The 26223-nt window shown below is 48.9% G+C and overlaps 1 protein-coding gene across 1 annotated transcript, besides 1 other annotated feature; it reads left to right on the top strand.

The window, feature by feature from the left end:
• The first annotated feature begins 949 nt into the window (after positions 1-949).
• IL22RA1 (interleukin 22 receptor subunit alpha 1) lies at positions 950-24319 on the top strand. Its single transcript, NM_021258.4, has 7 exons — positions 950-1050; positions 5376-5508; positions 6781-6959; positions 9704-9879; positions 15811-15949; positions 20667-20788; positions 22353-24319. The coding sequence occupies exons 1-7, from the start codon at positions 1008-1010 to the stop codon at positions 23283-23285; spliced, it is 1725 nt and encodes a 574-aa protein (NP_067081.2). The 5' UTR covers positions 950-1007; the 3' UTR covers positions 23286-24319.
• Positions 23357-23651: a silencer, noted in NCBI's record as "tiled region #13639; K562 Repressive DNase matched - State 20:ReprD". NCBI's record gives its function as "represses a minimal TATA promoter and a strong SV40 promoter by Sharpr-MPRA in K562 cells {active_cell/tissue: K562}" and the evidence as "EXISTENCE:reporter gene assay evidence [ECO:0000049][PMID:27701403]".
• Positions 24320-26223: the final 1904 nt, after the last annotated feature.

Genomic DNA, 26223 nt, shown 5'->3' with positions numbered 1-26223 from the left:
TTTGTGTGCTTGGGGCCAGGCAAACTCTCCCCAGGGGCAGGACCCTCCAATCGTGTCCACCCTGACCAGAGTCCAGGCCCCAGGGCCCTTCTACCTTCTCCAGGCCCTGCAGGAAGGAGAAAACCATTTCCTAAACACCTGTCCCTTCATTCACACGAAGCTCATGTGCAGATCCTGCCCTACGTGGCAAAATGATGGGAGAGCAGCCTGAATCTTCATCGTCCCGAACCAAAGCCCCATTCATGAAGTTCAGCCCCATCTCTAGCACAGCAGAAAGAATCACTGAAGTTTGAGTTCCATTTTTTTTCTAAACTTTTGCAGATCCTAGACCCAAAGGCTCAAGGTAAGAGCGGCTGGGCTTCCTCACCCCCAACGGCCTCTCTAGGGGAGAGCTGTTCCCAAGCCCACCCCAAGCGTGGGGACCTGCCTTGATATGGAGGATCAAGGAGGAGCATCGGGTGCCCTCAATCTCCTCCTGCCAGAAAAGCAAAGGAGTCACAGCTTTTCCTTTGCTGCAAGAAACATTCTGGGACCTTTTTTTTCCCCCTCTGTTGTCCAGTTATTTTCATCAGGGTAAATCCCCTAGGAATAGAATTATTAAAGCAAAAGATATGTATGTGGTGTAGGCTTTTGATCCACAGTGCCAAATTGCTTTTTGATAAGGCTGCATATCGTGGATTATTCTTGCCTTTTCTGCCCCTCAGCTCCTTGATAAACCACTTGGGATGAATCAGCCACCGGACCAGATAAACAAGCCAGCCTGTTACTATTGCTGTTTTCTGCAAGTCGGAAGGGAACTCCCTTAGATCCCGCCCAGAACCTGGAATTCCAGAGCACACAGGGCCAGGACACCTTTGTACCCCTGCTCCCCACCGGCACAGGTCCCACCCACCCCCTTCTCCCCGCCCCATGCCCGGGTGGAGCCAGCTGCCAGGGCGCCAAGACTCCCAGCCCTCTCTCTGTGCACGGCAGAGTAGAGGCCAAGGGAGGGCTCTGTGCCAGCCCCGATGAGGACGCTGCTGACCATCTTGACTGTGGGATCCCTGGCTGGTGAGTGCCCATCTACCCTGTGGTCAGACCTCCCTTATCCCAGGGGCCAACGATCAGGGTCATCTCCCCAGCACCCTCCCCAGCCCGAGCATAGCCAGTTTCAGTTTCTCCCCTGCTAGGGCTGAGCAGGGTGCCGGGTGTTCACGGAGAAGCAAATGCCCAGCTTAGTTTGCTGGGGGCATGAGAGGGTGCCTCAGACCCTGGGTTCTTCCAGGGACCCAAAGGACCCTCGGGTCTTGAGGGATATAGCCAGCTGTCTGAACTGGGGGTGCTGGATCGCTGCACCTCAGTGAATGGAGAATTGGCCTGGAGGAGGCAGACATCCTTCGGTCCCTCAAACGGTGTCGGCACAGTTTGTACCATCCTTCCTCTGCCTCTCACTTGGCACTGGCCTGACAGGGGAGGAGGAGGAAGGACCGGGGGAAACGAAGCTTGAGTTCACTATTGCCTCCCTCCATGCCCCTGCAGGGCCTCTTTGGCCCCTTTTGTTATCATAGATCTGAAAGAGCATTTTCTCCTAGAGTGGCCAGGTCTGCTACATTAATAGGTCTTAAGACACAGGACTCATTTGGAAACAGGTCTTAAGGGCATAGTGTTCAAAGCCAATAAAGTGAGCGGAGTGGGGGGCTCATCATTATGGAGAACGTTACATGAGACCCTAGACTCTCTCTCTGCTCTCCTGGTGCATTGCATGAAATTCAGGGAACTTCCTTAGGAAGTCAAAGCATAGTCCTGATTGAGGATGGCGAGCAGGTATGGCCTCGGCCAGGCCCTCCTTGCTCAAGTGCAGGACGAGGCCCACGAAAAGGCAGAGCTTCCCACCTTCTCTGCCACTGTCCCGCCAGGGCTGCCTGCGTCTCCAGGGCTTCCAGCTCTGTGGGACCCCCTCCAGTCTGCTTCCCAGCATCAAGCTGGGCGTTCCAGGAAGATGTGAGGCACCCCCTTGAGGCACCAAGACACGTCCCTTTAGACCCTCAGCCATACTGGTTAGAAATCCTAGAGGCTCCCAGCCCTTTGAGATGGGGGACCCCAAGAAATAGCCCTTAGGAGATTGTCAAGGGTCAGCTGCCTCGCGCTGCACACACCGGGCCCTCACCCCCCCAATCTTAGGCTGACTCCAGAGCATGTGGAATTGTTTCTTGTTTGTGTATTTTTCCTTAGCTTCCCAGCTGGTTGACAGAACATTGTTTTTCCACATGAATGTGAAAAAACAAGTTGCCTTTTATAAATCCGCCAGGCTGCCAGGCTCCACACAACACATGTCTCCCCAGATTTCACAATATAGACTTTCACCCGGGAAGTGCCGAAGCAACACAGGCTGAGGAATGGATGATAGATTTGAGGAGGAAAAGGAGCGAGGAGGGTGGGAGAAGAGGGGGAGATCTTGTTAGACCCTGACATCCCTAAAAGACAGGAGTGGGCCTAGGTTCACTTACCCCACTTCAGGAAGCTAACTGCAGTTCCCTCCTGAAAAGTGGTGCCAACCTCCACGTAGCCCAGGGTCCTTTGCCTTGGCAACATGCCCCCACCTCAGCCACCAGCCTCCTTGCAACCCAGATGGGCCCTCTATTTCCCACCCAGAACACTGACCTCAACCAGCAACCGTTCCCGCTGCAGACTCTACCCCAAGCCTTGATGGAGCCTGGCTTCTCAAAGCCCACCCTCACCCTTCTGCCCTGACCCACCACCCAACCAGAAGCCACTGTTCAGGTCTGACCTTGACTGGACTCCTTTCCTCAACTTTAGACTCAGCCCTGAATCCAGGACCCCTCCCTCCAGAACTGACCCCAATTCCACCCAGCCTCACATCCAAACAAGATGTCAGCTACATCCTAAGGCTCCACGGCACAGCCGTCACCTTGCGTAGAGGCAGTAGACCCCTCCCCGCGCCATCCCTAAGGCCCCATTCTGGGGACTCCAGGAAGCCTGAAGACATTTTGCAGCTGCTGGGCCAGAACCCAAATTCAGAGAGGAGGGCAGCCTTCGAGGTTGGCCAGAGGATGTGCAGCGGGGTCGGACCATTCTTCCGTCCCCATCGGTCCTCGCCAAGCCTGAGGACCCCTCTTGTGTGTAGAGTTGGAGTAGGGGAATCAATAACTGTCTGCTCCCTCACACCTTGGGCCCACTGGCAGTCGTAGACGTGTCTGGGGAAGGAGAGGCACAGACATATTCAAGACACACACCCAGGCCGCAAGGCCTTGACCCAGCTGGGGTTGCTTAACATTTTCCCACCTGTTTATTTCCCACGCCAGCCGGCCAGGGCCTCCGAGCTCCGAGCCAGCTGCCAGCTTGGGCCGCCATTTTCCCGCAGGCTCTTGCTCTCCACAGCCCAAGCCTGGGGGCCTGAGGGAAGGGTTTTATAAGTTAAGGACTCTTTGTTTACAGTGCAGATTGCTTTAGAGGCTGCAGCCCCTCCCCAGCCCCTTCCTTGAGGCTCAGGCCCTCACTGCCCTTCCCTTAACAGAAGCAGAAGTGGGCTGGACAAAGACCTAGCCTGGAAGAGAGGGCTGTGGACTCTTCAATGGCCAGCTTCTCTTCTCCTCTCTCTTCTCCTCCTCCCTAAATTCATCCCTTTATCAGGTGCTCAGGTCCCTGAAGCCCCCCACCCTCATATAAAAGGGTGAACAAGATAGCCCCCTCCCTACAGAGCGAATGTCTTCCCTTCCCAGGTCTCCTCCCTTCAGACTCAACACATGTACATAGGGGCCTGTTAGACACTAAACACATTCACAGACGCCAACCCGCTCTATCCGCCCCACAACCAGTCTAGCACTGGGATGAATATTGTAGGTTCTTCACATGCTAACTGTGATGCTGGGCGGCAGCTCTCTCTGAGCCTCAGCTCATTCATCAAATGGGGATAGTGATAGTGGGCACGTTGTCGTGAGGATTTAATGAAGGGAGGGACTTGCCTGAAAGAGGCTGTGCACTTCACAAATGCCAGTGGCTGCTGTTGTCATTGTTGTTTGTCTTTCGGTAAATCAAACTATATCCATTTTAGAGATGAGGCAATTGAAGTTCTCGTTGCTTAAACAACTTTCCCAAGGCCACCCTGCCCACGTGTGGGCTCAGTCAAGAGCGCCTCCTCCACCATTGCTTCATCTGATCAACTTGGGGCAAGTCACTTCTTACACACTTTAGTTACATATCTCTAAAATAAGGGTGAGGACACCAACTTCAGGTTGTGTTAAAAAGTGAATGAGAGACAATACCAAGCATCAATGGCGATGTGGAGAAACTGAACCCCTCAAACAATGCTGGTGGGAATTTAAGATGGTGCAGCCATAACATCCTGGACAATATATGAGACCCCATCACTACAAAAAATTTAAAAATAAATTAGACGGATGTGGTGGTGCATGTCTGTAGTCCCAGCTACACAGGAGGCTGAGGTGCGAGGATTGCTTAAGCCCAGGAAGTCGAGGCTGCAGTGAGCCATGATCACGCCACTGCACTCCAGCCTGGGGGACAGAGCAAGACCCTGTCTCAAAGACCAAAAAAATGGTGTGGCCACTTTAGAAAATAGTTCGACAGTTCTTCAAAAGGTTAAAGATAGAGCTACTATATAACCTACCAAATTCCACTCTTAGATATATACCCAAGACAACTGAAAACATATGTCCACTTATAAAATTGAACACGGTGTTCACAGCAGCATTATTCATGGTAGCCAAAAAGTAGAAACAACCCAAATGTCCTGATGAGTGGATAAACAAAATGTGGTATATCACACAATGGAATATTATTCAGCCCTAAAAAGGAAGTACTAATCCATGCTACCACACGTGTGAACCTTGAAAACATTATGCTAAGTGAAAGAAGCCAGCCAAGCTCTATTTACATAAAAAGTCTAGAGTAGGGACATTCACAGACACAGGAAGTAGATTCGTGGTTGTCAGGGTTTAGGGGAGGAGAAGAATGGGTGGAGTGACTGCTAATGGGCATGCAGTTTCTTTTTGGGGTGCTAAAAATGTTCTGGAATTAGATAATAGCGATGATTGCACAACGTTGTGAAAATGCTAAGAAACCATTGAACTGAACACTGTAAGGTGGTGACATTTATGGAATGTGAATCACAACCCATTGCAAAGCAAAATGGCTGAGAATGGATGGTTGGTTAGAACAGCGTGGGGAGCATCCCCTCTTGCTGGTCCATTTGTAGAAGGCTGGGGGCCAGGGTCTCCCTGCCCACCCACCAGGCTGGCATCTTGAAAGCAAAGGCACTTTGCATGAAATTTATATGGGGCAGGACTCTGACTGAGCCCATACATGGGCAGGGTGACCCTGGGAAAGCCCCTGCTCACCCTCCTCCCACCCTCCTGCAGCTCACGCCCCTGAGGACCCCTCGGATCTGCTCCAGCACGTGAAATTCCAGTCCAGCAACTTTGAAAACATCCTGACGTGGGACAGCGGGCCGGAGGGCACCCCAGACACGGTCTACAGCATCGAGTATAAGACGTAGGCTTCTCTCTTGACCCCACCTCCTTTGACTGATCTGAAGCCAGCCCCTCTCCAAGGAATTCCCCTCCTCTCCATATGTTCCCATGTCCCCACCAGGACTGGTGTCACATAGCCCCTCCCAGATAAAGCTTTGCTCCTTTATGTTTCTTTTGCAGAGGGAGAATAATATAAGGGTAAAAAGTACAGGTGATAGGGTCAGGCTGTCTGGGCTTAAATGCCGCTCTCGCCTGTATAACCTTGGGCAGGTAACCTCACGAAGCCTCAGTTTCTCCACCCACAAAGTGAGGACAATGATAGCACTTTCATCACAGGGTTGTTGGGTGGGTTAAACAAGATAAAGTCATTAGCACTTGTGCCTGGAAATTTATAAGCTACCAATAATTGTTTTATTATTATTAGTGAGACTAGGTCAACCGAAGATGCACCCAGCCCCTCTAGCCCACGCTCCTGTTCCTGCTCCTCTCCCTCCCATGCAGGTGAGGAGGGGTGGCCTGGGCTCAGGAGTCCTCAAACCTGGCTTCCACTCCTGGTCATGCCACGTTGTCCTGTAGCAAGTCACTTCCCCCTCTCTGAGCCTCATTTCTCTCATCTGTAAAATGGGGATAACAGGGCCCACATCAAAGGACTATGGTGATGACGAGCCCAGAATGTGGACTCAGACTGGCTGGGTTCAAATCCTGGCTCTCCACATGCACACTTCAAACACGTGGGCAATTTACTTCTTTGAGCCTCATCTTCTTTGTTTGAAAAATAAACAGAATAGGCTGGGCACAGTGGCTCACACCTATAATCTCAGCACTTTCAGAGGCTGAGGCAGGTGGATCACTTGAGGTTAGGAGTTCGAGACCAGCCTGACCAACAGGGTGGCCATACTGTCTCTACTAAAATACAAAAATTAGCCAGGCATGGTGGTGCACTCCTGTAATCCCAGCTACTCGGGAGGCTGAGGCAGGAGAATCACTCGAACCCCAGAGGTAGAAGTTGCAGTGAGCCAAGACTGCACCACTGCACTCCAGCCTGAGTGACAGAGCGAGGCTGTGTCTCAAGAAAAAAAAAAAAAAAGAAAGGAAGGAATAAAGAAAGAAAAAGAGAAGAATGCATATGCCTCAGAGAATCATTGTGAGAACAAAATGAGATCATTCGCATAAAGGGCCTGGGCCACTGAACGTGCTAAGTAAATATCAGATCTCCTTGGCATTATTAATAAGCCACAGGCCTAGCGCTGGCCTTTTCATCACCACGGTGACTTGGCCCCTTCCTGACCTGCAGGTACGGAGAGAGGGACTGGGTGGCAAAGAAGGGCTGTCAGCGGATCACCCGGAAGTCCTGCAACCTGACGGTGGAGACGGGCAACCTCACGGAGCTCTACTATGCCAGGGTCACCGCTGTCAGTGCGGGAGGCCGGTCAGCCACCAAGATGACTGACAGGTTCAGCTCTCTGCAGCACAGTGAGTTGGAGCCCCTGTGGGTTTCAGGGGAGGGAAGAGGAAAGCGCAGGTGTTTGCGGGGTGGGATGGCCTCTTCCCCTCTGGAGTGGGTGGAGGGTCCAGAAGGGGCTCTCTGCAAGGGGAGGGGCAGCTGGGGATGTGGCTTTTAGGGAAGCCCCCCACCCCCACCAATTACAGTGTGTTCCTAGCAGGTTTGTTCACTTTTCTCCACCTCCACCCCAACCTCCCTAGTTCAGACCACCCTTATCTTGACCCCCGACTGCAGTCAAGGCCACCTAACTTGTTTCCCCAACTCTCCTCTTTACCACCTCCTCCAGCCCATTCTCCACAGAGCATTTAGAGAGATCTCCTCAACACATAAATCCCACCTTCTCTTCTCAGCTTAAAACCCTCGGGCAGCTTCTCATGACTCTACAAATAAGATCCAACTCCTTGCCACGGCCCACGAGGCCCTGCCTATCCTGGTCCTCATCTTGAACATGTCTTCCCAATGCATCGAGCAGCCAAGCTTCTGACAGTCCCTGCCTCGGGTTCCTTGCTGCTCCCACTCTCTGGGGGCACTTCTGAGCTCTTCACATGACTGGTTCTTTTATAGTCCTCACGGCTCAGCTTCAACATCACCTCCTAAGTCAGTGTCCCCACCTCCAGCCCTGATGACCTGATTTCTGTAGGCCACCATCTGTGATTCTCTAGTGCAATACAGGGCTTATTGTCTTCATCGCTCAGATCACACGCTGCAATTACTGTGTTTGCTCACACATGTTATCATCTGCCTCCCCCTCTAAAATGTGAGCTCTAGAACTGTATGTGTGGGCGGCAGAATCCACTGCATTCCCAGCCCTCAGCATAGTGCCTGGCACATAGAAGATTCTCAATAGCCAGGCGTGGTGGCTCACACTTGTAATCCCAGCACTTTGGGAGGCTGAGGCAAGAGGATCACTTGAGCCTAGGAGTTCAAGACCAGCCTGGGGAACACAGTGAGACCCCATCTCTACAAAAAATTTAAAAATTAGCTGGGTGTGGTGGCACACACTTGTAGTCCCAGCTACTCAGGAGGTTGAAGTGGGAGGGTAGCTTGAACCCAGGAGGTCAAGACTGCAGTGAGCTGGGATTGCCCCACTGCACTCCAACTTAGGTGACACAGTGAGATCCTATCTCAAAAAAATAAAAAAGATATTCAGTAAATGAATGGTTGAGTGGACAGCAGTTGCTGATATGGTTTGGCCATGTCCCCACCCAAATCTCATCTTGAATTGTAGTTCCCATAATCCTGTCTTGTGGGAAGGACCCAGTAGGAGGTAACTGAATGATGGGGACGGTTCCCCCCATGCTATTCTCATGATAGTGGGTACGTTCTTGTGAGATCTGATGGTTTTATAAGGGGCTTCCCCCTTTGCTTGGTTCTCATTTTCCTTCCTGCCACCATGTGAGGAAGAACATGTTTGCCTCCCATTTTGTAAGTTTCCTGATTGTAAGTTTCCTGAGGCCTCCCCAGCCATGTGGAACTGTGAGTCAGTTAAACCTCTTTCCTTTATAAATTACCCAGTCTGAGGTGTGTCTTTATTAGCAGTGTGAGAATGGACTAATATAGTTGCCAAACTCCCCACACAAGCTAAGCGTGTGACGATGTTCACCAACTGACTTTATAGTCACACATAGCTTTTTAAGAAAATAAAAAATAAAATTAAGTAAAATATTGTTTTTTTAACCTGGCTTGTTCAGTGAATTCACATTCATTGTAGAAAATGTGTGAAATATAGAAATATACAAAGAAAAATAAAAGTCACCCAAAATGATCTTAACATTGTAACATAACTGCAGATACTAGCAGCCGTATCTACTTTGCAATCTGGCATTGCTTTTTTGTCTTAGGTTCTTTTTCTCCATATATTGGTATCATGAACATTTACCCATATCATTAAACATTTTGCACAACAAGATATTTCACAGTGCAAAATAATCCATTCTAGGGAGATACTCTAATTTACTTATGTATTTCCCTTTTTGAGGACATACAGCTCAGTTTTTCAATTTTATTAGCAGCACTGAAGTAAACATTGTTCTGACTCAGATATCTTCAATCTTGGAGGCCAAAGGATCATTGAGGAATTTTTACAAATTAGATTCAGGGTAAATGAGGTCCATGAATCCCTGAAGTTGGATGCAAGATTTTTGTATATATACATTTTGGCAGGAAGAAGACCCACAGCATTCATCACATTCTCAAAGGAGTCTGTAAACCAGCAAAGGTAATTTGGTTATTTGGAAAATTCCATCTTGAGAGAGACAGAAGTCTTCAGCCTGATCTTTGAGGCTGCATCAATAGTATTAGGCCCCAAACATTATTTAGGATGTGTAGTTGATGTCATTGACATCCCCAAAGCTGTCATACTCAATAGATGAGGGAGGAAGGGTGCTCTAGGCTGACTTAAGGTGGGGACGCAGGGGGCTGGGATGTGTGGGGGCAAGCCAAAGGCATGACCAAGCTAGGGGACTGGTGCCCCTCCCCCTGAGTTCTTCTCATCCACTCTTGGTCATCCCTTTGCCAGCCTGAAACCCAAACACCAGGGCTTGTAGAAACTTTTCTCTTTTCACTGTTTGTTTAGCCGTTGCTTTCAGAAGCATAGCTGGCACTGGAGTGGAAGGAGAGAGGGAGCAGTCATTTTCCACTGTCCAAGGTTGCCTCAGACACTACCCACCGATTCTGACTTTTTCTTTTCTCTTTTCTCTCTCCCTATCCCCAGCTACCCTCAAGCCACCTGATGTGACCTGTATCTCCAAAGTGAGATCGATTCAGATGATTGTTCATCCTACCCCCACGCCAATCCGTGCAGGCGATGGCCACCGGCTAACCCTGGAAGACATCTTCCATGACCTGTTCTACCACTTAGAGCTCCAGGTCAACCGCACCTACCAAATGGTGAGTGTATGTTGCACCCTGGTCTTTCTCTGCCTAGGAAGCCTCTTCCCTCCCAATTAGATCTGAGTTGCTTTAAGAAAAAAAGGGGACATGTTATGTAAATTAGCATTTCCCAAAACATGTCCCTTGAGAGGCTCCTTGAAGCCTGGAAATCATCACAAATGACAACTTTTCTCTTGTAGATTCACACACACAATAGCATGCTAAAAGCTCTGACAAGTCCTGCAGAGCCAAGACTCCACTATCAATTTGTTTTGTTGTTTTGTTTTGTTTTTTATTTATTTATTTTTATTTTATTATTATTATACTTTAAGTTTTAGGGTAAATGTGCAGGTTAGCTACATATGTATACATGTGCCATGCTGGTGTGCTGCACCCATTAACTCGTCATTTAGCATTAGGTATATTATCAATTTGTTTAATACAATTTCTCCAGAATTTATTTGACCAGAGAAGCTGCTTTTTTTGCATAATATTTACATTGTTTTTTGTTTAACACCTTCTCACATCCTGGGGAACAACCTCTATTAATATCTTCAGATGTTCACATTAGAAAATGCTAGAATCAATTTCTACTGCTGCAGTAGTTTTCCAATATTTGCAGGAACTATATACAGGCAATGTGGAAGGATGAGTAATAATAAGAGGTGGAAGGCAAGGGCATACATTCTCAAATAGTACATGAATTATTTCTTTTCGTATTCAGAAAATATTTGGTACCCCCTACCCTCAGCATGTGCCACCAATCCACAATTCAGTTAAATGAATATTTATTTCCTACTTTGTGGTTTCTGCATGCAAGGAGCTTATAATCTAGGGGGTGAAAAGGAAGTTAAAACAAGAATTCAAATAGCTATAGGTAGAGGAAAATATGGGTATTGGGAGGTGGGGCAGGATGTCAGCACAGCAAGATTTGAAAGACTTCCAGAAAACTTTTAGGAAGCCAAAAATGACATAATATGCATATATTACCTGGCATGCCGCAGAAATTGGTACTGGCTTCCAGAAAGCCTAATATGCATAATATGCATATTATGTCATTAATAGTCATATATTACCTGGCATGCCACAGAAATTGGTATTGGCTTTCTGGAAGCCAGTATCAATTTCTGAGGCATGCCAGGTAATACATGCATATTATGTCATTTAATCTTCACCACGGCCTTGTGAGGCAGGTTCTATCATCTCCATTGTCTAGATGAGGGAACGAAGAGAAGTTAAAAGTCACTTGCTCAGATTGTTCAGCAAATAATAGGGTAGACAGGATTCAAATCCAGCTCTGTTTAGCCCACATTTCTCCCACCACTGGCCTGCCTATACTGCCCCACCATGATCAGAGAGAAAAGCAGCAAAACTTAAGCCATTTAAAAAAAAGAGAGACGGGGCCTCACTGTGTTGCCCAGGCTGGTCTCAAACTCCTGGGCTCAAGAGATCCTCCTGCCTCAGCCTCCCAAAGTGCTGGGTTGACAGGCATGAGCCACCGCACCCGGCCAACTTAAGACATTTTTGAAAAGCACAGAACTGCCCACTTTGACAAGAGCATAAAGACATGTAAAACAGTTTCTTAAAACATGGTCCCAGCCAGGCACGGTGGCTCACGCCTGTAATCCCAGCACTTTGGGAGGCCGAGGCGGGCGGATCACGAGGTCAGGAGATGCAGACCATCCTGGCTAACACGGTGAAACCCTGTCCCTATTAAAAAATACAAAAAATTAGCCGGGCATGGTAGTGGGCGCCTGTAGTCTCAGCTACTCAGGAGGCTGAGGTAGAAGAATGGCGTGAACCCGGGAGGTGGAGCTTGCAGTGGGCCAAGATCGCGCCACTGCACTCCAGCCTGGGCGACAGAGCAAGACTCCATCTCAAAAAAAAAAAAAAAACACACACACAAAAACCATGGTCCCAAACAAACAGCATCAGAATCTCCTGCAGCACTTGTTTAAAATGCAGATTCTTGGGTCCCCTTCCAGTCAACTTCATCAAGTTATTGCACTTGCATCCCTGGGATCTGAATTTTAGTGAGCAACCCAGGCGCTTCTTCCCCAACGCAAAGCTTGAGAACCTCTGACGTGGAGGGACCCCGGGAGATAAACCTCAGAAGACTGGATGGGACTATGCTGTAGAAGGGATAGGGTGGTGGAGGGGACGAATTTTTGTTTCTTTCGGTAGTTGGGGGAGCCACTAGAGATTACTAAGCAGGGAGAGTCCTTATCACAACTATTTTTTGGTAAATATTTAGGGTCTTATTAAATATTTTATTGTTGATTTCTAATTTAATTCAATTTGTGGTCAGAGAACACACGCTGTATGATTTCAGTCCTTTTAAATTTATCGAGGCTTGTGTTATAGCCCAGCCTATGGCCTGTCCTGGTGAACGTTCCTTGTGCACCTGAAAAGAATGTATATTTTGCAGTTGGTTGGTGGAGTGCGCTATAAATATCAATTAGGTAAAGGTGATTAATTGTGTTATTCAGATCTTCTATGTCTTTCCTGATTTAGGTGAGAGGTCAATTGGTCGTTTAATTGTTGAAAATAGTAAACTCTCCAACTATAATTGTGGATTTGTCTATTTTCCCTTTAATTCTGTGCATTTTTGCTTCGTGCATTTTGAAACTCAGTTATTAAATACATATATATTTATGATTGTTGTATCTTCCTGATAGATTGAACCTTCTGTCATAGGAATTGTTCCTTTTTATTTGTAGTCATACTCTTTGTATTGAAGTCTACTTTATCGATATTAATATAGACACTCCAGCCTTCTTATGGTTTGCATAATATATGTTTTTACATTCATTTTCAATCTGCCTCTGTTATTATATTTAAAATGTATCTCTTGCAGACAGCTCTGACAGCCTTTACCTTTTTTTGACATTAATTCACATGCCATAAAATTCATTCTTTTAAAGCATACAATTCAGGTGTTACTTGCCTATTCACAAAGTTGTGAAACCATCACCACTATCTAATTCTCCCTTATCAATCTTTCTTCAAGTTCTCTATTTTTTCTGTCATTTCCAAAATGTTTTTGAGATAATTCAGTGGGTTTTTAAATTTCAGATAATAATATCTAGAATTTTTCAACTCTAAAGTTCCTAGATTTTATAGTTTCCATATTCTACTGAGATTTTCTATTCATTCATTCAATATGAGCTTATTTTGTTTCACTTCCTGGAGCATTGTTATACCGCTGCTTTAAAATCATTGTTGGCCAGGTGAGGTGGCCCACGCCTGTAATCCCAGCACTTTGGGAGGCCAAAGTGGGTGGATCACTTGAGGTCAGGAGTTCAAGACCATCCTGGCCAGTGTGGTAAAACCCCATCTCTACTAAAAATACAAAAATCAGCTGGGCATGGTGGCAGGTGCCTGTAATCCCAGCTACTCAGGAGGCTGAGGCAGGAGAATCATTTGAACCTGGGAGGCGGAGGTTGCAGTGAGCTGAGATTGCACCACTGCACTCCAACCTGGGTGACAGAGTAAGACTGTGTCTCAAATAAAATAAAATCATTGTCTGCTAATTCAACATTTTGGTCATCAGGGTCAGTCACTATTATCTTTTCTCTTGAATATGGGTCGCATATTCTTTCTTTGTATGTCTAACAATTTTGAAATGTATCCTGGACATTGTGTTGAAATTACTGTAGATTCTGTTATATTCCTCCAAAGAGTGTTGGTTTGGTTTCATCCGGTTTTGGTAGGCAATTAATTTGGCTGAACTCCAAACTCTGAAATCTCTCTTCTTTTTTTGTTGGTTAACTTTACCTGGGCTGCTTGGAGTCTACCCCATTCATGCCTACTTTAGGGGCCGGTCAGGGATTTGAGCAGAGTTTATATACAGAGTTTGGGCCTCCTTCTCTACACTCTCCCCTGTCTGTGCTTTCTCCCCTCATTTTCCAGCTGCTGTGATTATTCCAAGCCCTGCCTTTTGGGTATTCAAGCCACTGAGAATAAAGGGTTTCTGTCTAGGTTTAGCCATTCCACAGGGTGTAGACTGAGGTCTGCCTTCAGGCTACAAGACAGTAAAAATGGGAAATGTACCCATCGACATTTCTCCTCTCTCCAATATATGCCTGCTTTTATTTTCTCTCCAATGCTTTTAAGTAGTTGGTTTTCATTTTGCTTAGAATTTATAGTTGTTATTTTGGGGATGTTTGGTCCAATAGAAGATATAAATTACTAGGATTAGAATGAAGAAAGATCAAATATGGAAATGGAAGAGATATCAGGCTGGCAAGTCAAAAGATTATTGCAATGGTATAGGCTGGAAATGAGGGCCTGAACCAGGATGGAGGTCGTGAAAAACTTGGGAAAGGAGGAATCAGGGCCTTGGCAACTCTCCTGGAGTTATGTCTCATGATATGTAATGTGTCCAGTTCCAACCACATGAGTTCCACAAAACAATAAGTTAAAAAATTTATTTATGTACTTCTTCACTCACTGTCACCACCATCCCCATAAACACACACAAAAGAAAACAGTAAATTACCCTCAACCTTGGCCTCCATGTGCCTGAAAAAGAGAAGGCAGAGCTGAAATACAAAGAGCCAAAGAAAATTCTCAGTTTTTGAACTCCCGAGAACACAGGTTCTGGCCCTTTAAAGGAAGATTTCTGGATCCTTTAAGGGCAATTTGATACCAAAGATATGAGAGGGGATTTGTCCAAAATGGCTTCAAGGTTTAGGCCCTGGAGATTAGAAGAAGAGTGATGCTATTATCAAAATTAGAGAATCAAAAGCAGATTTGGGTTTGGGGTCTGGGATGGGGCCAGCCCCAGAGAGAGGAGGGCAGCATGTTCGGACATGTTGACTTAGAGATGCTCACATGGTACTATTCAGCAGGGAGCTGGCAGGGCCCATCAGAAACTCTACAGCTCTTCCTGAGATAAGTTTGGGAGTTATCCACACATCGGTGCTCACAGCAGCCATGGGTTCAGATAAGATCACTAAGTGGCTGGAGAGTATGTGAGAGAGAAGGAAATGGTTGAAGAGCAAATCTTGCAGAACAACATTGAGGGGCTAAAACCAGCGAAAGACCAGTCAGAGAGGTAGGAGGAGAGCCAGACAGGATAACATGTGGCAGCCATGGGAGAGGAGTTCTGGGTCAAAAAGGTGAGAGATACACAGAAGAACGAGAATCAAAACACAGTTCCAGCAGAAGGATTGGCAGATGCAAAGAAACAAGGGCTTTCTTATGCAAGGTAGGTGTTTACCCGAGTGGCAGGTATCCAGCATTGATGAGCCTGCAGAGCCAGGTGGGCTGCAGAGACAAATGAGTCTGGACTGGAAGCCAGGCACCAGGACTCTATTCTGTAAATATGGGTGAGGCCATCAAAGCCTTTTGAATAGAAGAGCATTATAATGAGATTGTCTTTTAGAAAGATTCCTATAAACACTAGGATGAATATGGAAGTGAACAGGGGCAAACCCAGAGATGGGCGACCATGAAAGAGGCTACTGCTAGAGTCCAGGCTGAAGCCTTGAGGCCCAATTAAGGCAGAAGCAATGAGGAAAGAAAGAAAGGAATGGGTGTTCAAAAAGTTTATGATGTTTAACCACAAAAAGGTGAAGGACAAGAGGAATTGGAAGAAGGAGGGATAGTGGGAGCGTGGGAGGGTGGTGGAGGTCATAATGACAGCTGCCATTATGTGTGTATAACCACACATTTTATATATATATATATATATGTATATAACCACATTATATAGTGTGTATAACCACTGCCTATGGGCCAGACACTATTGCAAGTGAAAGGCACACGTGCTTGGAGACTGATTGGATTTGGGGATAAAGCAGAAGGGAGGGGAATGGAAACAGAGGCTGAAGACAGACCCATCAGCATCAAACCAGAATCCAGGAGGAGCGAGCAAGCTTCCTTGGGCTCTATGTGGAGATCGGTGTGTAACAGGAATCACATTCCATTCTCTGTCCAATTCAGCACCTTGGAGGGAAGCAGAGAGAATATGAGTTCTTCGGCCTGACCCCTGACACAGAGTTCCTTGGCACCATCATGATTTGCGTTCCCACCTGGGCCAAGGAGAGTGCCCCCTACATGTGCCGAGTGAAGACACTGCCAGGTGAGTTCGGCTGAAACCAGAGGGAGGTGGGGCTCCCGAATTCAAGTCTTGACTCTTCTCTTTCCTCCCTGTAACCAAGGTGAGACTTGGCAACACTCTAGAAAACCATGGAAGGGTTATCAGTGTGTTATTGAAGTCAATCTTTGTTTATCCATAAAAGAGTTGGCTGATGAGTTATCAAAGCAAATGTTTGATTCTCACCCTCCAGCCTATGTCTGGATTTCCCCTCTCTGACAGGCCTTATGTGTACCTTGGCAAAGCAAACTCACCTTAATATTAACCCAGGTGAGATATACTGGAGGGAAAATCTGCAGGGGGGAAGCAGAGAAGATAAAAAGATCCCTCAATATCTTCCAAAGTCAAATAATAATAATGGTATCATGATAACTAGCATTTCTGCAGTGCTAACTGGGAACCAGGCACAACCAAGGGCAAGCCTCATGAGCAGTCTATGAGGTAGGTATTATTTTCATCCTCATTTTACAGATGAAGAACCTGAGGTTCAGAGTGGTTAGGTAACTTGCCCATGGCCGGGCACAGTGGCTCACACCTGTAAACCAAACACTTTGGGAGGCCAAGGCAGGAGGATCACTTGAGCCCAGAAGTTTAAGACCAGCCTGGGAAACAGGGCAAAACCCCATCTCCACAAAAAAATCAAAAACTTAGCTAGGTATGGTGGCGTGCATCTGTGGTCCCAGCTACACAGAAGGCTGAGGCAAGAGGATCACTTGAGCCCAGGAGGTTGAAGCTGCAAAGAGCTATGTTTGCACCACTGCACTCCAGCCTGGATGACAGAGTGAGACCTTGTCTCGGAAAAAAAAAAAAAAGTGACTTGCCCAAGGTCACACAGGTGCTGAGGGATGGAATGAGGCCTAATTCTAGAGGCCATGCTCTTACCACAGAGCTACTATAGATACAGTTGGGTTTTTTGTGGGTTTTTATTGTTTTTTGTTTTTGAGACAGAGTCTTACTCTGTCACTCAGGCTGGAGTGCAGTGGCACAATCTCGGCTCACTACAACTTCTGCTTCCCAGTTTCAAGAAATTCTCCCACCTCAGCCTCCCAAGTAGCTGGGATTACAGGTGTGTGCCACCATGCCTGGCTAATTTTTTTTTTTTTTTTTTTGTATTTTTAGTAGAGACGGAGTTTCATCCTGTTGCTCAGGCTGGTCTTGATCTCCTGGCCTCAAGTGATCCACCCACCTCAGCCTCCCAAAATGCTGGGATTACAGGCATGAGCCATCACGCCCAGCCTAGATATAGTTTTGAATCATCTGCTCAGTGAGATGGTCCCTTCCTCTAGCACACTGAAACTTGATTCTCATCACAAGCATCATGATGTTTTTATTAGTGTTTCTTTTCATAGACGGAGGGAAACGTTGTATTGCTCAGAGCTGCAGGTTTAGAGGATGAAGGTGACGGCAGTGGATGTGATAGATTTGGTAAAACAGTCTCCACTTTATCCTCATGTTCAGATTCATGATGTCAGTAAGTGATTTCAGTTCCAACCATGCCAACATTCAGAATAGAGTTGAGTTTGCAAGCTGGACATTGTGTGTGGCATAGTGGAAAGAGAAGTACCGTGTGAGGAATGAGAAGGCACGGTATTAGTCAGATGTCAGCCAACCACGTGCCTGGGGGAGTCACTCAGCCTCTGGGAGCCTGATCCCTCATCTGACAAATAGGGATGCTGATGCCTGGGCTGAGGTGATAATCAGAGGCCAGGCAGCTGCCAGAGCTGGGCCCTAGAAAATGACACTCTGGTCCTCAGGTTTGTTCGGAAACTCATCACTTTTCCAAACAGCCCACAAGAGACTGATTTCTCCACCTGAATCCCAGTGCACCAATTGGCAGGGGAGCTATGCCTCACGGAACAGCCAACACTGGCCACTTGCATGGGGCATGCCCTTCCTGGGGCAAAGGCTGCTAGGGAGCTCAGAATAGAACTTGGCAAGAGGAGAACTAGAAAAAGGAAACTGACGTTCTGGGGCTAAGCTGGGAGTGTTTGTATGATTCATGACCCCCTTCCCTGGACTGTCCTAGATAAATCTCAGCTGCTCCTGGCCCATGGGACCTGGCCCACCAGCTTTTTGACAATGTGAAGACCACTCCACCCTTACCCACAACACCCTTCTGTTGCCTTACTTTGTCTTGCTTATAATGAGATACCATTTTTTCCTAAGACTATAGCTTTTATATAAATCACACTTCCTGGTGGCTACTTCTTGCTGACATATAGAAGGCACCTTATCCTTAAAAATATATTTAAAACAATTCCTACATTTATTAGGTTCTACTATATTGCCAAGCAAATAGTTGTGCCAAATGCTTTACATATATTATTTAATCTTTATTATTACATGTAACATATATTATTTAATCTTTACAACAATCCTGTAAGCTGGGTAGCATCATCCTCGTTTTACAGAGGAGGAACTCTGGCTCAGAGAGGTTAAGCAACTTCCCTGTGACCGCACAGCTGCTTGGGGAACCTGATTGATTCATCTGGTTCTGAAGGCTGGGCTCTACCCACCACTTTGCAACTTTGTTTACAGTGAGCCCCCTGTACTGCACACTTCTTCCTCCTACTTCCATTTCAGAGTGATGCATCCTGCCCTTGACTGTGTATCCTGACGTCTGCATTACCCTCAGAATCCCCTTTACCTACCTCTCCGTAGATAAACAGGGAGGGTCACAGAGCATTGTCCCAGCATCTTGATGACGGAAGAGGCTCTAAGGGCCACCTCACCTCATATCCTACTCTTACAGATGAGGAAACTGAGGCTTCCTTGCAGAGTGGCAGGGAGGATGAGTTTTGAGTTACACATGTAACTCCACTGAGTAGCTGTGTGACCTTGGTCAGGTCACTTAACCTCTCTGGGACTCAGCTTTGTTATCCATAGGAAGGGAGCGTCCCTACCCCTCTGTGATGTGTTTGATGATGTAGTGAGATAACATAGGTAGAGCACCCAGCTCTACATGATCATACAGATCATGGCCTGTAGTAGGAGTTCAACCACTGCTGGCTACTGTTATTATTAAAGGGTAGACCAGAGAGGGTCGTGCAGCAGGAAGGATGCTCAGCATATCTGTGGCAGAGCCAGGCCTCTAACACCCTGTATTCCTTACTCTCAGGCTGGTGGTGTTTTTATATTCCATCCAGCCTCCCTATGGGTGAAATGGCAATGTATCCAATACACACAGTGTGAAATGGAAATATGTCAAGCCAGAGACCATTCCATGTCCCTATTCTGTCCTGGAACAAACAGCAGTGGTTTTCCAGGAATGTTATAGACATTCGGGTGGGGTCTTTTTCCTGGAGTAGGGATGGGGGTAACATGTGACAGGAGACAGGGTTTCACTGAAGTGGGAAGCTGACCCAGAGAGGCCCAAGCTCGTGGGCTAGGGGAGGATCGAGGAGTGGGCTAGAAGTAGAGGTTCCAGCAGTACCCGGAGTTCACAGTGATCGCCGAGGTCATTGGAGCTATTGATAAACTCTCCAAGCTGAGGCTGCACAGGGGCCAGGAAGAGAGGGAGGGTGATTAGCTGGCCCCTGGACTGCAGGGGTCTTGACTCTCTGAGTCACCTTCCCTCTGTTGCAAACTGTCAGTTTTACCAAAAACTCCAACAACCTCTTCCTCCATAAGTCCTTCACAAGCCCCACTTGGACTGGTGACAGGAAGTGTGTCCTGCCTGGAACTGGCTGCACCCATCCCAAAGATGCTGAGACACAGGGAGAGGCTCAGGCACTAGAGCCCTAGTCATCCCTCTCCCCTCCATTTTAGACAGGACAGTGCCTTCCCAGGCTCCCTTCTTGACCAAGATCTTCCCTGATGCCCAGCCCCTTATCTTGGTAGGGAGGTGGAGAGGACAGGCCTCCCTGTTTTCACTTCTCCCCTCCCTCTGCCTCTACCCTACCAGGGAGGCAGGACCACCCTTAGACTCAGGCAAAAGGGGCCTTTCCCTGCACCCAGCACTTTAGAAGGCCCTTCTCTGGCCCTGTCCTGGCCATTCCCCTCCTTGCAAGATGAAGACTCCATACAACAAAGGGGGCAGATCCATCTGGATCCTGTGACCTCCTTTCTAGATCACATTGTGAGTACCTGGGACCCTGAAACTCTCTGTACATATGGCCCAGAGCCTGTGATCCGTCTAGGCAGTCCTCTTTTGGGGGTACTTCCTCATGAGGGCAGACACTGCTGACATGTAGTGCAGACCCTTGGCCCAAAGGATGACCAACAGGTGGCTATTTGGAGGGGACATGGATGAGCTCGACCATGAGGGCTGGGGCATCTATACACATGTGCGTGAGGGCCCTGGCAGTGTGGGATGGAACTGGGCTGGGCTGGGCTGGGCTGGGGGCCTGCAGTGCGCTGCGGGCTTTCCCTGTACCTCCCCACTTCAGCACAGTACCTAGAGAAGTCCAAGAACTCTGAATTAAAATATGGCATCCCAGGTGGTTGTAAAAAATCTTTTTGTTAAGGTGGAAACCTCGAACATTTTATTTATTTAACAGTGTAAAAATATAATTTGTAAATTCTGACTATTTAGATGTACAGTATATGGACTTCCATTTGTGATCTTGCATTCTGACGGTAGGAGAGGCCTTGCCAGCCCAGCCAGAGAGGGTTTTCAGCATCCACATGTGGGGCCAGACCCAACCGGGCCCAGGCAGAGCCCAGCCTCACGCTTCCTTCTCTGGCCCCTTTGGTTTCCCAGACCGGACATGGACCTACTCCTTCTCCGGAGCCTTCCTGTTCTCCATGGGCTTCCTCGTCGCAGTACTCTGCTACCTGAGCTACAGATATGTCACCAAGCCGCCTGCACCTCCCAACTCCCTGGTGAGCCATCCCCCCAGGGTGGGAGGGAGAGGTCCAGGGGAGGGCCTGGGCTCCGAGGTCCCCAGTTGTCCCCAAAATGCAGGGATCCACAGACAAAGCAGGAGATGGGCCTGCTCTCTCCATTCACGGAGCTCACAGTCCCAGCTAAAGTCAACGGACGTGTAGCCCAGCAGGTCTCAGGACACATTGAAGTGGGGTGGGTGATCAGGAATAGTAGACATGGAATAAAAAACCCACATGGCTTGGAAGTGTCCAGCACCAGGAGGGTAGTGTGGGACTTGAGTGAGCAGCAAGGCAACGAGGGAGGAATGGTGGGCGCCAGGAGAGCCGTGGCACTCATGCCCTGTCTAAATGGGCAGCCGGGCACCACCATGTGGGAATGCAGGCCCAGCACTGCCTGATCTTCATGTTTTTCAAGAGAAGCCAGAGTTTCAGATTATATTGTGGAATCTCCCAATTTTCAAATATTCAGAACTAATTTTTTAAACAGATTTTTTTTTTTTTGAGATGGAGTCTCCCTCTGTCACCCAGGCTGGAGTGCAGTGGCATGATCTCGTCTCAGCACAACCTCCACCTCCCGAGTTCAAGCGATTCTCCTGCCTCATCCTCCCAAGTAGCTGGGATTACAGGCATGCACCACCACCACACCTGGCTAATTTTTGTATTTTTAGTAGAGACGGGTTTTACCATGTTGGCCAGGCTGGTCTCAAACTCCTGACTTCAGGTGATCTACCCACCTCGGCCTCCCAAAGTGCTGGGATTACAAGCGTGAGCCACTGCACCTGGCCATTTTAAACAGAAATTTTTAAATGGCAAAACTAATTGTTAAGTGGAAAGCCCTTTGTTACAGTTCTTTTAGAATTGCTGTAGCAAGTGAAGACCAGAACCACCCCCCACCCAAAAAATAAAACCACCCCCCACCCAAAAAATAAAAATAAAATGGAAAGCCCTACATCAGCCACACAAATCACATCAGCAGCCCCCACCTGACGCCAGTGCCGCCTCTGCTAGAGCAGCAAGGCCACTGCAGAAGCCATGAGCTGAGCCACCTGAGGCACCCGGAGCCTGCTCTTGCCCATCGGAGGGACAGAGGAGCTCTGAGGGAGTTTTGCTCAATGTGCAAGTCCAGATGAAGCATTTTCTGTAAAGCTCTCCCGGTCTCTCCTGGCTCCTTCTTTTCCCACCCTGACCCTGTATTAGGCCCTCAGGGACCCGTGGGCCAAGCAACAATGCGGGCCACCACCTCGAGATCATGCCCCAAGGCAACCCCAAATCCTGGTCATCTACTCCCTGGATTATCCGCCTCCTGGAGAAACCAGAGCCCAGATCTCTCTCCCTGAGATAACCCAGGCTTTAGAACCAAAGAGCTGAGAGACCCTGTCCCTTCAGAGAGGCACTTGCACCTAGAGGAGTCTCTGGGAAGCAGATGGGGATATGGGACAGACGCATCTTGAAAAAGCCCCCAGATGCCTCCCTATGGAGGACCTCACCCACCCACATCACCAGTAGGGAGCTTGGGACTTACCCTAACCACAGGGGGGTGACTGTTGTCGTCCCTGCACAGAACGTCCAGCGAGTCCTGACTTTCCAGCCGCTGCGCTTCATCCAGGAGCACGTCCTGATCCCTGTCTTTGACCTCAGCGGCCCCAGCAGTCTGGCCCAGCCTGTCCAGTACTCCCAGATCAGGGTGTCTGGACCCAGGGAGCCCGCAGGAGCTCCACAGCGGCATAGCCTGTCCGAGATCACCTACTTAGGGCAGCCAGACATCTCCATCCTCCAGCCCTCCAACGTGCCACCTCCCCAGATCCTCTCCCCACTGTCCTATGCCCCAAACGCTGCCCCTGAGGTCGGGCCCCCATCCTATGCACCTCAGGTGACCCCCGAAGCTCAATTCCCATTCTACGCCCCACAGGCCATCTCTAAGGTCCAGCCTTCCTCCTATGCCCCTCAAGCCACTCCGGACAGCTGGCCTCCCTCCTATGGGGTATGCATGGAAGGTTCTGGCAAAGACTCCCCCACTGGGACACTTTCTAGTCCTAAACACCTTAGGCCTAAAGGTCAGCTTCAGAAAGAGCCACCAGCTGGAAGCTGCATGTTAGGTGGCCTTTCTCTGCAGGAGGTGACCTCCTTGGCTATGGAGGAATCCCAAGAAGCAAAATCATTGCACCAGCCCCTGGGGATTTGCACAGACAGAACATCTGACCCAAATGTGCTACACAGTGGGGAGGAAGGGACACCACAGTACCTAAAGGGCCAGCTCCCCCTCCTCTCCTCAGTCCAGATCGAGGGCCACCCCATGTCCCTCCCTTTGCAACCTCCTTCCCGTCCATGTTCCCCCTCGGACCAAGGTCCAAGTCCCTGGGGCCTGCTGGAGTCCCTTGTGTGTCCCAAGGATGAAGCCAAGAGCCCAGCCCCTGAGACCTCAGACCTGGAGCAGCCCACAGAACTGGATTCTCTTTTCAGAGGCCTGGCCCTGACTGTGCAGTGGGAGTCCTGAGGGGAATGGGAAAGGCTTGGTGCTTCCTCCCTGTCCCTACCCAGTGTCACATCCTTGGCTGTCAATCCCATGCCTGCCCACGCCACACACTCTGCGATCTGGCCTCAGACGGGTGCCCTTGAGAGAAGCAGAGGGAGTGGCATGCAGGGCCCCTGCCATGGGTGCGCTCCTCACCGGAGCAAAGCAGCATGATAAGGACTGCAGCGGGGGAGCTCTGGGGAGCAGCTTGTGTAGACAAGCGCGTGCTCGCTGAGCCCTGCAAGGCAGAAATGACAGTGCAAGGAGGAAATGCAGGGAAACTCCCGAGGTCCAGAGCCCCACCTCCTAACACCATGGATTCAAAGTGCTCAGGGAATTTGCCTCTCCTTGCCCCATTCCTGGCCAGTTTCACAATCTAGCTCGACAGAGCATGAGGCCCCTGCCTCTTCTGTCATTGTTCAAAGGTGGGAAGAGAGCCTGGAAAAGAACCAGGCCTGGAAAAGAACCAGAAGGAGGCTGGGCAGAACCAGAACAACCTGCACTTCTGCCAAGGCCAGGGCCAGCAGGACGGCAGGACTCTAGGGAGGGGTGTGGCCTGCAGCTCATTCCCAGCCAGGGCAACTGCCTGACGTTGCACGATTTCAGCTTCATTCCTCTGATAGAACAAAGCGAAATGCAGGTCCACCAGGGAGGGAGACACACAAGCCTTTTCTGCAGGCAGGAGTTTCAGACCCTATCCTGAGAATGGGGTTTGAAAGGAAGGTGAGGGCTGTGGCCCCTGGACGGGTACAATAACACACTGTACTGATGTCACAACTTTGCAAGCTCTGCCTTGGGTTCAGCCCATCTGGGCTCAAATTCCAGCCTCACCACTCACAAGCTGTGTGACTTCAAACAAATGAAATCAGTGCCCAGAACCTCGGTTTCCTCATCTGTAATGTGGGGATCATAACACCTACCTCATGGAGTTGTGGTGAAGATGAAATGAAGTCATGTCTTTAAAGTGCTTAATAGTGCCTGGTACATGGGCAGTGCCCAATAAACGGTAGCTATTTCCTGTTGTGATTTTTTTTTTAAACTACGTTACACAAGGAGTGACCCCCTCCCCCAATTCGGATTGGCTTCAGACACACCTGGCATTTTCTCATGGGCTTAAATGACCTGGATTTCCTCAGGACAGGCAAAGCCAGAGGGGTCTGGGGTGGGAAAGAGGAGGGACTGCAGGGCCTTCTAGAGACAAGAGTTCAGAGACAAATGATGTGGAACCTTCTCCCTGAGATCGTAGGCAGAAGCCATTGTGGGTGGCAGTGGTAATCTCAGACGGCCTCTGTCCATCCAGCCTCCCTGATCCCCCACAGAGGCAGTGTTGCACACTCTGTGCTCTCAGACTGCTGCCATACCCTCCGTATCACTGCATCTCAGACGACCCCTACCATGAGGAAGCCAAAGTCCAGAGGGAGAGGGGACCTACCCGAGATCCCACTATTGAGGCTGTGACAGAGTTGGAGTGCAAACCTAGGGCTTTTTGTCCTCATCGAGAGAGGAAGCTTTCCACACCTGCTTGGATTCTTGGAGGATGAGACTAGTGGAGGCTAAGGAGGGGAGGCCTCCTAATGGGGTCCCCAAGAGAAAAGTGCTCCTGGTCACCTTGCTCCAAAGTCTTTTTGTTTGTTTGTTTTGTTTTTCCTTTTGGAGAAAGGGTCTCACCCTGTGGCCTAGGCTGGAGTGCAGTGGCATGAACACAGTTTACTGCAGCCTTGACCTCCTGGACTCAAGTGATCCTCCTACTTCAGCCTCCCGAGTAGCTGGGACTACAGGTGCATGCCACCATGCCCAGATAATTTTTGGTATTTTTGGTAGAGATGGGGTTTCGCCATGTTGCCCAGGCTGGTCTTGAACTCATGGGCTCAAGTGATTGTCTTGCCTCAGCCTCCCAAGTAGTTGGAATTACAGGCGTGAGCCACCACACCTGCCCTCCAAAGCCTTTTCTGAACATTTCTGAGAAAGAGGATGGAACACCAGTCACCTCAGAGGGACCCTTCCCAGAGTGGACAGTGTCCTTCTCTTCCCAGGTACATCTCCTCTTCTCTTCCCCACCCCTCCCCTTTCCTGGGACACAGTGACAGGTGGTGGTGTTCTTATCTGATGGTAATTAATGTTTAACATCTCCTCGGTGTCACTGGTTTAGACCCAACACCTCCGTGCAGAGGGATGGGTCTACCTGGACAGCCCCCCCCAGCCCATTCACCCCTCCACGGCAGCCAAGTCAGCCGGATGACGGCTCCCCTCTCCCCACCCACTGCAAACAAGTCTACTTCCTGTTGCTTGGGTCACACTTGGCCAAAGGTTAACTGTCTTCACCTTGTTTATTGGTGAAAAACAACCTAACAGGTGGACTATTCTCACCAAGTGAGACCCAGGAGCTACAGAAGTTTTTTATTAAGACCAGGCGCAGTGGCTCACGCCTGTAATCCCAGCACTTTTGGAGGCCAAGGTGGGTGGATCACCTGAGGTTGGGAGTTCCAGACCAGTCTGGCCAACATGAGACCCCCTCTCTACTAAAAGTACAAAATTAGCTGGGCATGGTGGCAGGCGCCTGTAATCCCAGCTGCTTGGGAGGCTGAGGCAGGAGGATCACTTGAACCCGGGTGGCGGGGTTTGCAGTGAGCCAAAATCCAGCCATTGCACTCCAGCCTGGGCAACAGAGCGAGACTCCATCTCAAAAAAGAAGTTTTATTAAAAGCCATAAATATCTCTTCCAACTCACAGTAACACGAAGCTCTTTGCCCTCCTCCGGGTGACAAACATTTCAGAAATGATTCTGGGAGGGTGGAGTCTGAGTGTCTGAAGAGAGGGATGGATGGCTTCGAGTCTGTGACTCACCCCTCCTCAGGTTGGACCTGTCTGCACTGAGGGGCGGGGACCAGACTGCATGACCCCTGAGGTCCCATGCCTCCCA

This window comes from Homo sapiens, chromosome 1 (genome assembly GCF_000001405.40).
Source record: "Homo sapiens chromosome 1, GRCh38.p14 Primary Assembly".
Taxonomy (NCBI): domain Eukaryota; kingdom Metazoa; phylum Chordata; class Mammalia; order Primates; family Hominidae; genus Homo; species Homo sapiens.
The sequence above is the reverse complement of the archived record's forward strand: the minus strand, read 5'-3'. Positions and strand labels throughout refer to the sequence as shown.

Coding starts and splice junctions, on each gene's coding strand:
- IL22RA1 (NM_021258.4), top strand. CDS start 1,008: ATGAGGACGCTGCTGACCATCTTGACTGTGGGATCCCTGGCTG. Junction 9,880..15,810: donor TCAACCGCACCTACCAAATG/GTGAGTGTATGT, acceptor TGTCCAATTCAG/CACCTTGGAGGGAAGCAGAG. Junction 15,950..20,666: donor CCGAGTGAAGACACTGCCAG/GTGAGTTCGGCT, acceptor TTGGTTTCCCAG/ACCGGACATGGACCTACTCC.